The sequence below is a fragment of the Homo sapiens genome, chromosome X (assembly GCF_000001405.40).
Source record: "Homo sapiens chromosome X, GRCh38.p14 Primary Assembly".
Classification (NCBI taxonomy): Eukaryota; Metazoa; Chordata; class Mammalia; order Primates; family Hominidae; genus Homo; species Homo sapiens.
The window spans coordinates 71,615,296-71,631,145 of record NC_000023.11 but is presented as its reverse complement, the minus strand read 5'-3'; the positions used below and the strand labels follow the sequence as shown (position 1 = coordinate 71,631,145).

General features: G+C 51.9%; 1 protein-coding gene across 7 annotated transcripts, besides 6 other annotated features; it reads left to right on the top strand.

The window, feature by feature from the left end:
* Positions 3,013–3,307: a silencer, noted in NCBI's record as "tiled region #2992; K562 Repressive non-DNase unmatched - State 23:Low". NCBI's record gives its function as "represses a minimal TATA promoter and a strong SV40 promoter by Sharpr-MPRA in K562 cells {active_cell/tissue: K562}" and the evidence as "EXISTENCE:reporter gene assay evidence [ECO:0000049][PMID:27701403]".
* Positions 6,190–6,239: an enhancer, noted in NCBI's record as "active region_29749". NCBI's record gives its function as "activates an Ori minimal core promoter by ATAC-STARR-seq in GM12878 lymphoblastoid cells {active_cell/tissue: GM12878}" and the evidence as "EXISTENCE:reporter gene assay evidence [ECO:0000049][PMID:35858748]".
* Positions 6,280–6,339: an enhancer, noted in NCBI's record as "active region_29748". NCBI's record gives its function as "activates an Ori minimal core promoter by ATAC-STARR-seq in GM12878 lymphoblastoid cells {active_cell/tissue: GM12878}" and the evidence as "EXISTENCE:reporter gene assay evidence [ECO:0000049][PMID:35858748]".
* Positions 8,278–8,427: an enhancer, noted in NCBI's record as "active region_29747". NCBI's record gives its function as "activates an Ori minimal core promoter by ATAC-STARR-seq in GM12878 lymphoblastoid cells {active_cell/tissue: GM12878}" and the evidence as "EXISTENCE:reporter gene assay evidence [ECO:0000049][PMID:35858748]".
* CXCR3 (C-X-C motif chemokine receptor 3) lies at positions 12,635–15,227 on the top strand. Of its 7 annotated transcripts, none has more exons than XM_017029436.2 (3): positions 12,635–12,708; positions 13,687–14,301; positions 14,639–15,227. In XM_017029436.2, the coding sequence occupies exons 1-3, from the start codon at positions 12,697–12,699 to the stop codon at positions 14,816–14,818; spliced, it is 807 nt and encodes a 268-aa protein (XP_016884925.1). In that variant the 5' UTR covers positions 12,635–12,696; the 3' UTR covers positions 14,819–15,227. The 7 variants fall into 7 exon arrangements, with proteins under 7 accessions (XP_016884925.1, XP_047297966.1, XP_005262314.1 ...); XM_047442010.1 differs by having other exon boundaries at positions 13,443–14,301; XM_005262257.4 differs by having other exon boundaries at positions 12,635–12,815.
* Positions 14,636–14,905: an enhancer, noted in NCBI's record as "active region_29746". NCBI's record gives its function as "activates an Ori minimal core promoter by ATAC-STARR-seq in GM12878 lymphoblastoid cells {active_cell/tissue: GM12878}" and the evidence as "EXISTENCE:reporter gene assay evidence [ECO:0000049][PMID:35858748]".
* Positions 15,166–15,215: an enhancer, noted in NCBI's record as "active region_29745". NCBI's record gives its function as "activates an Ori minimal core promoter by ATAC-STARR-seq in GM12878 lymphoblastoid cells {active_cell/tissue: GM12878}" and the evidence as "EXISTENCE:reporter gene assay evidence [ECO:0000049][PMID:35858748]".

Sequence of the window (15,850 nt, the reverse complement as noted above, 5' to 3'; positions counted from 1 at the left end):
TAACAGTGAGGACAACCAGAGGTCATTCTTGTTGCCATCTCAGTATTCATGGGTTTTAGCCGGCTTCTTTACTGCAACCTGTTTTATCAGCAAGGTCGTTATGACCTGTATCTTATGCTTACCTCTTAACCTCTGACTAAGAATGCCTTAACCTCCTGGGAATGCAGCCCAGCAGGTCTTAGCCTTATTTTACCCAGCCCCTATTCAAGATGGAGTTGTCTGGTTTAAATACCTCCGACAGTTTCACCATGTCATCCAGGCTGGTCTCAAACTCCTGACCTCAAGTGATCTGCCCGCCTCGGCCTCCCAAAGTGCTGGGATTACAGGCATGAGCCACTGCACCCAGCCTATTTATTGAATATTTAAATAAATAAAAATGTATTTGTTGAATGAGCACCTACTATGTGTCAGAAATGATTCAAGGCCCTGGTGACATAGTAATTTAAAAAACCCAAATTATATATCTTGTGAAAAGTATATTCTAGTGGAATAATAGATCAATAAGCAAATAAGCAAATAAGTAGCAGGTGGTGATGAATGCTATAAAGAATATAAAATGGGCCAGGCACGGTGGCTCACATCTGTAATCCCAGCACTTTGGGAGGCCAAGACGGTTGGATCACCTGAGGTCAAGAGTTTGAGACCAGCCTGGCCAACATGGTGAAACCTCGTCTCTACTAAAAATGCAAAAAAAAAAGAAAAATTAGCTGGGCATGGTGGTGTGCACCTGTAGTCCCAGCTACTTGGGAGGCTGAGGCAGGAGAATCGCTTGAACCCAGGAGGCAGAGGTTGCAGTGAGCCAAGATTGTGCCACTGCACTCCAGCCTAGGTGACAGAGTGAGACTCTGTCTCAAAAAAAAAAAAAAAAAAAATATATATATATATATATACATACACACACACACACACAACACACACATATATATATAAAATGGGCCAAAAGGATAGAGAGGGATGCAGGGTGTATTTTACAGTGGGTGATCAGAGAAGGCAAGGCACTTCACCGGGTTATTTACCCAAATTAATCTCATGTAATGTTCTCAACAACCATTTCATCATTATCATACAAAGTAGGTGTAATCTCTACTTTGTACACAAGGAAACTGAGGCTCAGAGAAGTGAAGTGATTTGTCCAAATCACACAGCTATGAATTGGTCGATGTGGGATTGGGATTGAGACCTAGGCGGGTCTGACACCAAACAAAGCCCATTTACTACTACCATGCTACACGGTTCCTGTACCCAACTGGACTCCCGTTGGAATTCTCTAGAGCCTGCCTTGGCCTTTCTACTACAATTGTTCACTGATTCCCAGTGGAGTTTGGGAAATCATTGACTAATGATTCTGAGGGTAAGAAAGCTGGAGGCAGGGGATCAGATGGCAAAGGACACTTCTAGTCAGAGACTTGCCCTGCAGAATCGCTTCAACTTAGTTCTATATTTGGAAGGCAGTCATAGGGTACTGAAACTTCCTGCTTCCTCCCCTGGGTCTCCTCATCTCTCCTTTGTGTCCTGCCCTGTCACCTGGGGCCCTCAGGCAGAGCCACAGAGTCCAGCTAAAGAGACTTTTTATGCCTTTGTGGCTCTGAGCTGCATCTCTAAGTCCTGGATGGTGGGTGGGACTCGGGCAGACAGACCAGCCAAGCAGTGGAAGCTTGGAGCAGGTCTACAACAGCATGTGGCCCAGTTCAGCTGGAATATAGGATGCTCAAGACAGACTGGAGAATCAGGCTGGCCTGGAGGCTGGGGCCAGATCATGGAAGGCCTTAATGGCCAGGCCAGGAGAACAGCCTCCATTCTCTTGGCTGGTGTTTGCCAAAGCGTGTCCTGCAGACCACTCATGTTTGGGGATAATGATAGCAGTGATAGGAGGGGGTCTGTTGTGAGAAGGTGAAGGTTCCTTGTTAAATAAGTTGAGGTTCAGTGAAAGTGAACAGATTCCTTTTGTGCAGGGTTTCTCCGACCTGGCATGAGGGCCAGAGGGCGAGCCAATGGGTCACGGTGAGTGCCATCCTCACGGCAAAGATGGATGGAACCCCGCTAGAGGCAGACTGGCCTGGGGGTGGCCAGTCAATCCTGTGGATTCGGCTCTTTATTGCCTCCTCTTTCCGCTCTCTGCCACCCTGCTACCTCCACTTTAACTAACATCCTCCTACCCTCTAAGTGGTCTCCCTGCACCTACCTGCCCCCATACCATCTCCCCTCTCCCAGACTTGCCTTCCCTGCCCGAACCACAGCCATCCTCTGCCACCATCCCATTACCCTACGCCTCTTCACATGAAAGCGCTTCTCTAGCTATTTTATAAGCTATGGTAATGGCTAAATACTCCAGGAATTAGTTATGTGAAATACCACTACTCACTAGCAAATGTGCTAAAAATTCATCTGGAGTCTCACGGAGGGTTTGTCCTAAGCCATCCTTGAAAAAAAAATTGACTTTTAATTTTTATTTATTTATGTATTTATTTTGAGACGGAGTTTCACTCTTGCTGCCCAGGCTAGAGTGCAATGGCACCACCTTGGCTCACCGCAACCTCCACCTCCCGGGTTCAAGCGATTCTCCTGCCTCAGCCTCCTGAGTAGCTGGGATTACAGGCATGTGCCACCAGGCCTGGCTAATTTTGTATTTTTAGTACAGATGGGTTTTCTCCATGTTGGTCAGGCTAGTCTCGAACTCCCGAACTCTCGTGATCCGCCCGCCTTGCCCGCCCAAAGTGCTGGGATTACAGGCGTGAGACACCACACTCAGCCTTAACTTTTTAAAAATATCGTTTGCTTTTTTTTTTAGAATTAGACAGAGCCTTACCGCACTGTTAGTTTCCTTGGTAACCACCTCTAGTTCCCAACCCCTAGACCTCCTGTCCTCAGTCCCTAACTGCAGACCGTCTGAGGCACTCCCACACTCCCTGGCTCCAGGAAGATGCCTTGCCGTGGTTCTCACCCCAGCCCCTGCGCTATCTCAGTGCTCCACTCCAGAGCCCATCGCCAGGTCCCAGACTGGGTGTCCTCAGCCCCTAAAGTCACATCATGGTCTTTTCAAATCCAGTTGGGGGCAGGAAGGGTATTCACAAGATAAAACGTATTCCCAGAGACAGAAGGGCGGGCTGGTTAGGAGTGTGGACTTTGAAGCCAGAAGGCTTGGTTTGAAAGCCAGGCTTTGTCACTTACTAGCCGTTTGACCTTGGGCAAGTGACTTAGCCTCTTTGAGTCTGTTTTATCATCCTTAAAAGAGAAATAAAAATAGAACCTTTCTGAAAGAGTTTTCACGAGAATAGATATGTGTAAAAGTGCTTTAAGCAGCACCTGGCACTTGGGGAGCGTTCCTGGTCAATATTATTGTTGTGGCCATCCATCTGTCCGCTCATCTTCAGATGTTTTGGCTTAGTCAGCAGTTAGTCTGGGATTTTGTGAGTGAGGAATTCATGACTGCCACAAGCAAGAGCATGTTTTTAATTTGGTGTCTCTTCAAGTTTTTTCTTTCTTTTTTTTTTTTTTGAGACAGTCTGGCTCTGTCGTCCAGGCTGGAGTGCAGTGGTGCGATCTCAGTACACTGCAACCTCCACCTCCCGCTTCAAGCGATTTTCCTGCCTCAGCCTCCCCAGTAGCTGGGATTACAGGCGCCCATCATCACGCCTGGCTAATTTTTTGTATTTTTAGTAGAGACAGGTTTTCACCATGTTGGTCAAGCTCGTCTCAAACCCCTGATCTCAAATGATCCACCCACCTCGGCCTCCCAAAGTACTGGGAGCACCCAGGCATGAGCCACTACACCCAGCCCTAGATTGACTCTTAATCCAGAAGACAGAGAGGTTAAATAACCTGTCCGTGGTCACAAAGCTAGTAAATGGCAAAACCAGGACCAGGAACCCAATCCAGACAGCCTGCTCCAGGGTCCGTGTGCTTACCCACTCTGCTGCCCTGCCTTGCATGGGACTAGCCAGGCTCTGGCCAGACTGCCACTGATGCCTATGCCTGTACAGATGGCTAGCTGCCTAGTTGGAGAAATACGGGCTCCACTCTAAGAGGAGGCAGGGCCTGGGCCATGGCACCTCGGCACAGGGCAATGTGGACAAAGTCCCCAAGGCTGACACCACACATTGGGATTGTAGAAAGCGATTTTTGGCTGGTTGAGGAATTTTCCAGAAGGCCTGAGAGTCCAAGCAGGTAAAGTCCAGCCCAGAGTCAGGCCCACCATTAAGAGGCCTCGTGCGGGTCCTGGGAGGGCAGCTTCAAGCAGTATTGGGTGTCTCAGAAGGTATGGACCAAGGGAGGAACGTTACTTGGCAGCTTTGCTCAGTGGAGTGTCTTTGGGTTGGGCACAACGGTTTCCAGGGTGTGCCTTTCCCTGTTCCTGGAAGCCCAGCAGCAGCCAAGAGCCCCAGGCCACGCCCAGTCCAGACTACCTGCTCCTCAGGAAGGGGCCTTAGCCAGCTGTGCAGGCCCTCTTCAGTTTGGGAAAAAGAACTTCAGGCTCTCAGCTGGTGACACCTTCTGAATAACACAACCCCAAATCCCTTCTATTCAGCCAGTCTGAGCCAAGGATGGGGTCAACCCGGGAGCCTCTGGTGTGGCCTGTATTCCTTGAGGGGCCCTGAGTGGCTTGGAGAAGAAGCCCTCGGGCTGCTGATGCCTTGCAGCTGGAGGGCAAGCAGGCTTCCCTCCCTGGTTCAAAAGGCTGCAGGGGAAGTCAGGAGGAACTTGGCTGAGAGGTTGGAGGTAGCCAGACAGTGAGAAAAGGGAAGAAGCCCAGGATTCTAGAAGCACAAAGTGAGGCCACGAGCAGGAAAGGTGGGGACCAACTGAGGGAGGGAGAGGTGCTTTCCTGGGACCGGGATGAGGCCAGAGGCCACTGCCAGAAAAGATGCGTTCCCAGGCAGGCTTGACCCCACCTTCTTCTCACACGGCCTCTAAGCTGATTCAGGGAATAGCATCCGATATCAAACCCATCCTGCCTGAGATTCTTCTGATACTTTTTTTTTTTTGAGGCAGAGTCTTACTCTGTCACCCAGGCTGGAATGTAATGGCGTAGTCTCAGCTCACTGCAAGCTCCGCCTCCCGGGTTCAAACGATTTTCCTGCCTCGGCCTCCCGAGTAGCTGGGACTACAGGCACGTGCCACCATGCCCGGCTAATTTTTGTATTTTTAGTAGAGACGGGCTTTCACTATGTTGGCCAAGCTGGTCTCAAACTCCTGACCTCGTGATCCGCCCACCTCGGCCTCCCAAAATGCTGGATTACAGGCGTGAGCCACCGTGCCCGACCTAACTTTTATTTTGATATAACATAAAACTTATTAGGTTGGTGCAAAAGTAATTGCGGTTTTTGCAATTAAATGCGGTTTCTGCAATACTTTCAATTGCAAAAACTGCAATTACTTTTGCACCAACCTAATACAAACAAGTTGCAAGAATAGTACAAAGTTCTCCTTTATGCACTTCCTCCATATCACCAGTTATTAGCATGCCGCCCCATTTGCTTTATCCTTTGTGCATTCTCTCTTGCTCTGCATATTTGGTTTCCAAGTCACACGAAAGTAAATTGCAGACCTCATGACCCTTAACTTCTAAATATCTCGATGTGTATTTCCTACAAACAAGGACATTCTCTTACATTATCCAAATTAGCTAAATAGCAGGAATACAAGGTTTTTGTCTAATCTCCAGGCCATATTCAAATTTTACCAATTGTCCCAATCTTTTAGCTTAATTTTATTCTTTCATTATTATTATTATTATTTTGAGACAGGGTCTTGCTCTGTCACCCAGGCTGGAGTGCAGTTGTGCGATCTTGGCTCACTGCAGCCCCAAATTCCCAGGCTCAGGTGATCCTCCCACCTCAGTCTCCCGAGTAGCTGGAACCAAAGGTGCGCACCACCACGCCCAGCTAATCTTTGGTTGTTTTTTTTTTTTTGTAGAGACGGGGTTTCACTGTGTTGCCCAGGCTGGTCTCAAACTCCTGGGCTGAAGCTATCTGCCCACCTTGGCATCCCAAAGTGTTGAGATTACAGGCGTGAGCCACAATGCCTGGCTTATTCTCCTTTTTTTTTTTTTTTTTTTTTTTTTTTTTTTGAGACAGAGTCTTGCTCTGTCACCCAGACTGGAGTGCAATGGTGCAATCTCGGCTCACTGCAACCTCCACCTCCCAGGTCAAAGTGATTCTCTTGCTTCAGCCTCCTGAGTAGCTGGGATTACAGGCACCTGCCACCACGCCTGGCTAATTTTTGTATTTTTAGTAGAGATGGGGTTTCACCATATTGACCGGGCTGGTCTTGAACTTCTGACCTTGTGATCCACCCACCTCAGCCTCCCAAAGTGCTGGGATTACAGGTGTGAGCCACCGTGCCCGGCCTTATTCTCCTTTTTGATGACTGTTTAATCACACAGCTAATACATGAATGCAGTCTCTGAATAAAACAATACAGACAAGGCCAAAGCAGTCCTCTTTGAACAGCACTCTCGCTCCCAGCCCCTCTCACCTTACACAGTGTCCCTGTAGAGTGTAATGGGGGAAGATGAGGAGCCTGTGCCACTAACTAGCTGTGTGACTTTGAGTAAGTTCCTTGAACTTTCTGTGTTTCTGTCATCTGTAAAATGAGGATGATGATGATAGTAATGGCCACATAGTTACTACATAGTTGTAGGTATTAAATGAATTCATCCCAATAAAACCCTGAGAACAGTGCCTAGCACGTAGGTAATCAATAAATGTCCATCAGGCGAGGTGACTCACGCCTATAATCCCAGCACTTTGGGAGGCTGAGGCGGGCAGATGGCTTGAGTACAGGAGTTGGAGACCAACCTGGGCAACATAGCGGGACCCCTGTCTCTACAAAGAGTTTAAAAACAATAATAATAATAAGTTGGGCGTGGTGGCACATGCCGATAGTCCCAGCTACTCAGGAGGCTGAGGCAGGAGGATCGCTTGAGCCAAGGGAGTCGAAGCTCCAGTGAACTATGATCGCACTCCCCACTGGGCAACAGAGTGCGACCTTGTCTCTAAAAGACAACAACAAAAAAAAAACAAGCAAAAAAACAAAAAAGAACCAAAAAAAGCCCCAAAACAAATACATGTCCTCAGTTCTTATGACCCTGTTTGACCTCACCCTGTGGGGAAACCCAAGGAAATGCAAGAAGCAAACTATCAACACTCCCCTCTATGGCTCCAGCCCAGCCAAGTGGGTGTCCACCCTCACCACACAAGATGCCTGATTAGGGCTGTGTGATGAGAAAGGTGTGGCTCCTGATGAGTCCTTGAGCAGCAGGATGTTTGGAGGGCTGGCAGTGTGACACAGCCCTCCTGGCTGACTAGGCTTGGACAGATCACTTCACCTCTCTGAACCTCCATTCTGCAAAATGGGCGCAGTAGCCTCTCCCTCACTGGGTGGCTGAACGGTTTAAAGGAGATCGCATGTATGAAAGTACAGCCTTGCAGAATGGAAGTCCTTTTATTTAATAGTTCCCAGGGAACTGCCAGAGACAGGATGACAGGAAGGTCATTGTGCTTGGTGGTGGGGCTTGGGTCCTGAACTGCTTTCCAGCCCCCTCTACCCTCCTGCCGTCACAAGAACGTTCCGTTCTAACCAGTCTGACCGCCCCTGGTGTGAGGAGCTCTTCCTTACTTCCCTGTCTTGGCACCTGGTGTTCCCCCAGCCTGAGAACAGCCTCGTCTCCCTTTGCCATGTGACAAACAGCAGCAACGTCCTCCAAGACCCAGCTCAAACTTCATCTCCCCTGTGAGGCCTTCTCCATTCCCCAAAAAAGCAGTGTCCCCACAGGTCTGGGAACTCACCCTCATGGGCTGGGGCTGTCTGTCCCACCTCCTGGGCTCCCAAGGCCCCAGCCCACGGCCCCCAGCACTTAAAATGGACTTGCCTCCCAGGAGGGCTCAGAGCTGCAGGACATGGGCAGAGGAAGAGGCAGTCCCCAGGCCCCAGGTCTCCCTGTGACTTCAGCTCTCTTTCAAGGGAAATTCAGGGCCAGGAGAAGGAAGCCCAGGGTCCCGGCACTGTCTGGAGCAGATACAGACCCCTGCCCAGGGCTTGGACTCTTCTTGATTTCACGTAAGATAGTCTCAGCCCCAGCCTGGGCCACACGGGAACCTCAGGCCTGGCTGAGCCTGCTCCCCTAACAGCCTGGGGCTGGCGGCCAAGTCCAGTAGCTTTTGGAGTAGTGCTCCAAGAGGCATTTGGAGGAGCTGCAAGAGAGGTTGTGAAGCAGCCGACTCTGACAGAGAGGAGGAGGAAATGGCCCTTTTCCCGGGCTGGCCGGCCTGGCAGACAGCAGTAGGGGCCCTCCTTCCTGTGAGGCACTGGGCCCAGGCCTCAACCTTTGAGCCTCCCATCTCCTCAAACCACAGCCCAGAGGTGTGAAAAAAAGAAAAAAACAGGGGGAGGGGTGGCAGAGAAGAGCCAGGTGCACATTTCGCACCTTGACCACAGGTGGGGCCCGGAGCAGCTTCACTCTGACTAACTTCCTCCTCAGGCTTCCCCGCCAGCTGCTCTGGAGGGCGGAGGCAGGAGGCTCACTGGCCAGAACTCTGATTGCAGGCCCTTGGCCAGGCAGCTGTCCCCTAAGCTGGGCCTGATTCTGTCCTGGTCTGGGAGCTGTTTGGGACCAGAAAGAACCAAATTAGACAGCTGGTCAAGGGTTTGGCTCAGCCCCGTAACACAGCAACCTTCTAAGACATCTCAGCTGTGCACGACGGCAGAAGCCCACCACAGACTTGCAATTGCGAGGTTAGGAGGGGTCAGTTTGGAAAGTTCCTAGAGCGGGAGGAGACTGCTGCTCACTAGGCACCTACCCTGCCCCAGACACTTTCTACACATATCATTTGCAGTCTCCAGAGCAACCCTATCAAATGTATACTATCCTTAGACCCATTTTTCAGATGAGGAAACCAAGGTACAGAGATTAAATAATTTGCCTGAGATTACACAGCTGGGCAGCCAGAGGATTCGCCTAGGACTGGCAAACTCACCGTCCCCCTCCACCCCCAGTTAAGGCAGAGGGTGGCCTCTCTGGAAAACCAGCCCTCCGGCCAAGCCCACACCTGTACGCCCCACAAGTGCCACCCTCTATCACTGGCTCCCTTGATATGAAAGGCTCCTGGTTGCTCCGGGTTTGTAGCCAACATCTCTCTCACTCAACATTCTCGATTGTACTCCTACTAAGCTATGGGCCCTGTGCTAGAAGCCTACAGCCTTGGTTATTCCAGTTCATCTTTTTAACAACCCTGCTGAGGAAACTGGCTCGACTCAGCTATGTAATTTGTCCAAAGTCACACAGCTCGAACAGGGTGGAGTCAGGGCTGGAACTCAGACAAGTTTAGCATTCTTCCCACAACATCATGGCCTCACTGGGAACAGCTCAGACCCATAGCCCAGCTTGGGCTATCAGGACACGGCCCTGATATCAGGGTACGGCCCTGATTATCAGGGTGTCCGAGCTCAGAAAGGAAAGCTCTCTGCTCCTTTCCAAAGCTCTTGCCCTGCCTTTCTCTCATGTGTCCTTCCCAGCAACCTGGGAAGGACATGATACAAACAAGTGAGGAGACTGGAAGGACACCAGGGAGGACACCAGGGTTACCTTTTTTTCTTTTTTTTTCTTTCTTGTCTTTTTTTTTTTTTTTTTTTGAGATGGAGTCTCACTCTGTCACCCAGGCTGGAGTACAGTAGCACGATCTCAGCTCACTGCAACCTCCACCTCCTGAGTTCAAGCAATTCTCCTGCCTCAGCCTCCTGAGTAGCTGGGACTACAGGCATGTGCCAGCCTGGCTAATTTTTTGTCTTGTTTTGTTTTGTTTTTTGAGACGGAGTTTCACTCTTGTTGCCCAGGCTGGAGTGCAGTGGCATGATCTCGGCTTACCACAACCTCCGCCTCCTGGGTTCAAGCAATTCTCCTGTCTCAGCCTCCCGAGTAGCTAGGATTATGGGCATGCACCACCACACCCGGCTAATTTTTGTATTTTTAGTAGAGACAGGGTTTCTCCATGTTGGTCAGGCTGGTCTCAAACTCCCGACCTCGGGTGATCCGCCCGCCTTGGCCTCCCAAAGTGCTGGGATTACAGGCATGAGCCACCGTGCCCGGCCTGGACTTTTATCTTTCACATGGACCAGTAACATTTCAACATCTATTTAGAGCAGGGCTCCCCAGCCCATGGGTGGTGGACCAGTATACCGGTCTGTGGCCTGTTAGGAACCAGGCTGGACAGCAGGAGGTAAGCTGCAGGGGGAGGGAGCATTACTGCCTGAGCTCTGCCTCCTGTCAGATCAGCAGAGCACAAATCCTGTTGTGAACTGCACGTGGGAGGGATCTAGGTTGTGCATTGTTTATGAGAATCTAATGCCTGATGATCTGAGGTGGAACAGTTTCATCCCGAAACCATCCCCACTCCAGTCCGTGGAAAAATTGTCTTCCACGAAACCGGTCCCTGGTGCCAAAAAGGCTGGGGACTGCTGATTTAGAGGACCCACATTGGGTTGTCAACTTCTGCCATCACAAGATGTTTCCAAAACTACCATCTATTTTCCCCATCATTTCATAAAGAAAAGGCCCTTTTGATACCAAAAAAAGGGGACAAATAACATGATTGCTGAATATAAGACAGACCTTTAAATGGAACAAATGTGGCTTTCCATGGTCAATTTTCTCATTTGCAGAAGCCCATGGAACTCAAACCTCTTCACAGGTCAGCACTGGGAGACTGTGGTCCCAGCTCCCAACCCTTTTCCACCCCCATAGGTAGCTACTGGCCAAGTCCTGCTCATCCTAACTGGCCTGGTTTCTGGAATCCTTCCTGCTCCCTCCACTGGCACTGCTCCTGACCTCTGCCAGGCCCTCAGTTCCCTCTGGCCTGAACCCTGCAGGTGACAAGCTGTTTAGAGCAAGGAGAGTCACATCTGTCCACAGGAGGGGAAGGGCCTTGATGCCTTGCAAGTATGCCTCATGTGGGTGTAAATTTAATTCCAGGCCCTAGCCTGGAGGCTTTGGTGGGGCAGTCTGGCTGAAAACTGGCCCCAAGACCATGGGCTAGCACTTGCTTTTCTCTCTCTCTCTCTTCTCTCTTCTCTCTTCTTTCTCTCTCTCCCTCCACCCCTGCTTTCCAACTAGGGGAGAGAGAGAAAGAGGAAACTGCTTGGGAGAAGCAAATTACGGGCAGCCTTGCCCACTGGTAATGAGAAGAGGGCGACAGGGAGGGGAGAAGAGGGCAAAGGGGAGAGCTGAGGGCAGGTGGGGAGAGGAATTGTTCACCATTCTCTGCCATAAAGTGACTGATGTGCTGTACCAAGGCTGCCTTACAGCTTTTCCTTAAGATCAAGAAGTTCCTATGGCCTCCTCCCCAACCCCATCCTCCTTCTTGCCCGAGAAGCAACTGCTTTTATGAATTTGTGGTATCTCCTGTCCCTGTTTTAAACCTCGAGAACCAACAGTGTTATCCAAAACAACATGGTATTGATTTTGTGGTGGTTTTTAGAGTTTATGTAAGTGGCATCAAACTATACATGGCATTCTGTAACTTGCTTCTTCTACCATGTGATCGTTGGCTTTTCTAGATGCATCCATGTTCAAATGTGTAGCTTTAGTTCATTTGTTTTTAACTGCATGAATATATCATAGCTTATTCACTTAAAAGAAACTGAAGACAGTGTTCATGAGTAGGAAAAGGAGAATCAGACAGCCGTGGGATCAATCCTCACGCCCACCTTTAATTGCCGTGTCTGGCGAAGGCCTGTCCCCTTTCTGAATCATCCATGCAGATAACCCCGCACGTCACAAGTGAGTTGTGTGGTTGAAATAAGGCAGTGTCGGAGAAAGCACCTAAAGCAATGTCTATCACATAGCAAGTTCATTACTGGTAGTTCCCTTTCTTTTTCCCCACTGATTAGCAGGGAGAGGTGGTGGTAAAAAGCTAGATTTAGTGTAACGGCTTTTTAAAAAAATATTTTAATTCCCTTTTTAAGAGACAGGGCCTCACTCTGTCACCAGGCTGGAGTGCAGTGGTACAATTATATCTCAAGGCAGACTTGAACTCCCGGGCTCAAGCAATCCTCCTGTCTCAGGCTTCCAAGTAGTTAGGACTACAGGCACATGCCACCATGCCCGGCTGGCTTTTTTTATTTTTGGTAGAGATGGAGCCTCGCTATGCTGCCCAGGCTGGTCTCAAACTCTTGGCCTTAAGTGATCCTCTTGCCTCAGCCTCCCCAGTAGCTGGGATTACAGGAATGAGCCACTGCACCTAGCTGAAATTTTTAAGAAGGTGGATCTCCTCTGCAGACTTATTTCTCTACCCAGCCTTTACAATCATGCAAAGATCAACTCAAGGCCAGGACAGATGAGTTCCAATCTATGGAGCACTGACCCTACCAGTGCAGGCAGTAGGGTTGCCCTTCACTTCTCAGCTGCATTGCTTCCTCTTCAGACCTCTCTTCTCAAAGGACCTGCCCCCAGCCAGTCATCCTCTGCCCAGCTTTTCTGGTCCCAAGCTTGTAGCCAGCTCCTCCAGAGAGGTTTCACCCAGTCACGGAAACTCTGTGGCCTGAGGTTTAGGGAGGTCTGGTAGAGGTAACTCCCTGGAAGAGGCTGCTGCTGAGAACTGCCTGAAACTCCCACTTCCTCTGTGACTGCAGGTTTCCAACCACAAGCACCAAAGCAGAGGGGCAGGCAGCACACCACCCAGCAGCCAGAGCACCAGCCCAGCCATGGTCCTTGAGGTAAGTGCTGCTGCCCAGCCAGGCCAGGCCAGAATTCGAAGTGGAAAACCCGGGGCATCAGGGGAATGCCAGGGCTGGCCCACAGCCCAGGGTCACCACAGGGTTGGGTGAGTAGCTGGAGGCCGCATGGGTTGTGGCAGAAACAGCACTGGGGAATTGGGAACCCAGCTTGGCCACTGACCCTGGGTGCCTCTCCTCTCCTCTCTGGCTTCGGTGTCTCGTCTGCAAAATGGGGGGGGCGGGGGGCAAGTAGACTCGAAGGCTCCCTTCAGGAGACTTGGAACTTTGACTCTTGGCGTGCTGGACTAAATTGGTACTGGGGAGACCTGCAGGTCCATAGTGCTGGGGGTGAGGGGATAAAGAAGATTCCTTCTCAAGCTAAGTGGGGGATCCCCTTGTGGGCAGCTAAATGGCCGTGCAAGCCTCAGTGTAGGGAGGGGGAAGGACTGGGCAGACTGCATGCATTTGGGGGGCGTGGTGACTTGTAGAGAGGCCACACGGTGGGGGGGGGCGCAGGAAGTTGGGGTCCCCGGACAAGGGCCAAGGAGGGAAGAGGAGGGTTAGTGACTGGAAAAGGGGATTGTGGAGAGGCGCTGGGGAGGAAGGTGGTTGAACTATGTGTTGGGGGTGGGGCACTGAGGACGCAAGGCAAGCCTGAAGGGAGAGCAGGGAGAGAGAGGACAGTGGGCAGAGAGGGCTCTGGGCACTGGAGGGACGCTCTTCTTCCTGCCCAGGGGTCCCTGGGCCGATGGGATCACGCAGAAGAATGCGAGAGAAGCAGCCTTTGAGAAGGGAAGTCACTATCCCAGAGCCCAGGCTGAGCGGATGGAGTTGAGGAAGTACGGCCCTGGAAGACTGGCGGGGACAGTTATAGGAGGAGCTGCTCAGAGTAAATCACAGACTAAATCAGACTCAATCACAAAAGAGTTCCTGCCAGGCCTTTACACAGCCCCTTCCTCCCCGTTCCCGCCCTCACAGGTGAGTGACCACCAAGTGCTAAATGACGCCGAGGTTGCCGCCCTCCTGGAGAACTTCAGCTCTTCCTATGACTATGGAGAAAACGAGAGTGACTCGTGCTGTACCTCCCCGCCCTGCCCACAGGACTTCAGCCTGAACTTCGACCGGGCCTTCCTGCCAGCCCTCTACAGCCTCCTCTTTCTGCTGGGGCTGCTGGGCAACGGCGCGGTGGCAGCCGTGCTGCTGAGCCGGCGGACAGCCCTGAGCAGCACCGACACCTTCCTGCTCCACCTAGCTGTAGCAGACACGCTGCTGGTGCTGACACTGCCGCTCTGGGCAGTGGACGCTGCCGTCCAGTGGGTCTTTGGCTCTGGCCTCTGCAAAGTGGCAGGTGCCCTCTTCAACATCAACTTCTACGCAGGAGCCCTCCTGCTGGCCTGCATCAGCTTTGACCGCTACCTGAACATAGTTCATGCCACCCAGCTCTACCGCCGGGGGCCCCCGGCCCGCGTGACCCTCACCTGCCTGGCTGTCTGGGGGCTCTGCCTGCTTTTCGCCCTCCCAGACTTCATCTTCCTGTCGGCCCACCACGACGAGCGCCTCAACGCCACCCACTGCCAATACAACTTCCCACAGGTGGGCCGCACGGCTCTGCGGGTGCTGCAGCTGGTGGCTGGCTTTCTGCTGCCCCTGCTGGTCATGGCCTACTGCTATGCCCACATCCTGGCCGTGCTGCTGGTTTCCAGGGGCCAGCGGCGCCTGCGGGCCATGCGGCTGGTGGTGGTGGTCGTGGTGGCCTTTGCCCTCTGCTGGACCCCCTATCACCTGGTGGTGCTGGTGGACATCCTCATGGACCTGGGCGCTTTGGCCCGCAACTGTGGCCGAGAAAGCAGGGTAGACGTGGCCAAGTCGGTCACCTCAGGCCTGGGCTACATGCACTGCTGCCTCAACCCGCTGCTCTATGCCTTTGTAGGGGTCAAGTTCCGGGAGCGGATGTGGATGCTGCTCTTGCGCCTGGGCTGCCCCAACCAGAGAGGGCTCCAGAGGCAGCCATCGTCTTCCCGCCGGGATTCATCCTGGTCTGAGACCTCAGAGGCCTCCTACTCGGGCTTGTGAGGCCGGAATCCGGGCTCCCCTTTCGCCCACAGTCTGACTTCCCCGCATTCCAGGCTCCTCCCTCCCTCTGCCGGCTCTGGCTCTCCCCAATATCCTCGCTCCCGGGACTCACTGGCAGCCCCAGCACCACCAGGTCTCCCGGGAAGCCACCCTCCCAGCTCTGAGGACTGCACCATTGCTGCTCCTTAGCTGCCAAGCCCCATCCTGCCGCCCGAGGTGGCTGCCTGGAGCCCCACTGCCCTTCTCATTTGGAAACTAAAACTTCATCTTCCCCAAGTGCGGGGAGTACAAGGCATGGCGTAGAGGGTGCTGCCCCATGAAGCCACAGCCCAGGCCTCCAGCTCAGCAGTGACTGTGGCCATGGTCCCCAAGACCTCTATATTTGCTCTTTTATTTTTATGTCTAAAATCCTGCTTAAAACTTTTCAATAAACAAGATCGTCAGGACCAGGGCATGTTCGTGCATCATTACAGTCAGCCCAGCCCACCTGGGCTCCAGGGGCACTTCCTGGTTCTCCCTGCCTGGCCCTGGGTCTGTGCCAGCCCATCCTGCCTTCATCAATGTCTGTCTGCAGCTTTGTCTCTGCCCTCGTGGGCACTCCTGTTCTACTCACAGGGAAACACCCAAGTACATGGGTGCAGAGTGAGCAGTTAGGCAGCTGGTTGGCATAATTGGGGAAGGGGCCATCAGACATGAACACGAGAGCCCTGCACTCCAGCAGCTCAGGACAGGAGGCAAGATGTGTGTGAAACTAGCGAAACCCAGCAGCCTGGGCCATGGGGCACATAAGTGGCACAGTGAACCCAGAGCTCAGGGCACTGAAGGTTGGAGCCATTTGGGAAGGCTTCTTGAAGACTTAAAGGGCAAGTAGTATTTCCAGGCATAAGGGAGGGCAGTAGCAACAGTGGGAAGGCTGAAAGTAAGACTGAAAGGTAATTTGGGATCAGGTGATGGTATTGGAGACCAGTCAGAAGGCCCTACTGGTTTTTCAGGTGAGTGATACAAGCGCTTACTAGGGAAATGGCTGTGGGCTTGAAGAAAAGCAAGGCCAGATGACTTGCCAACAGTC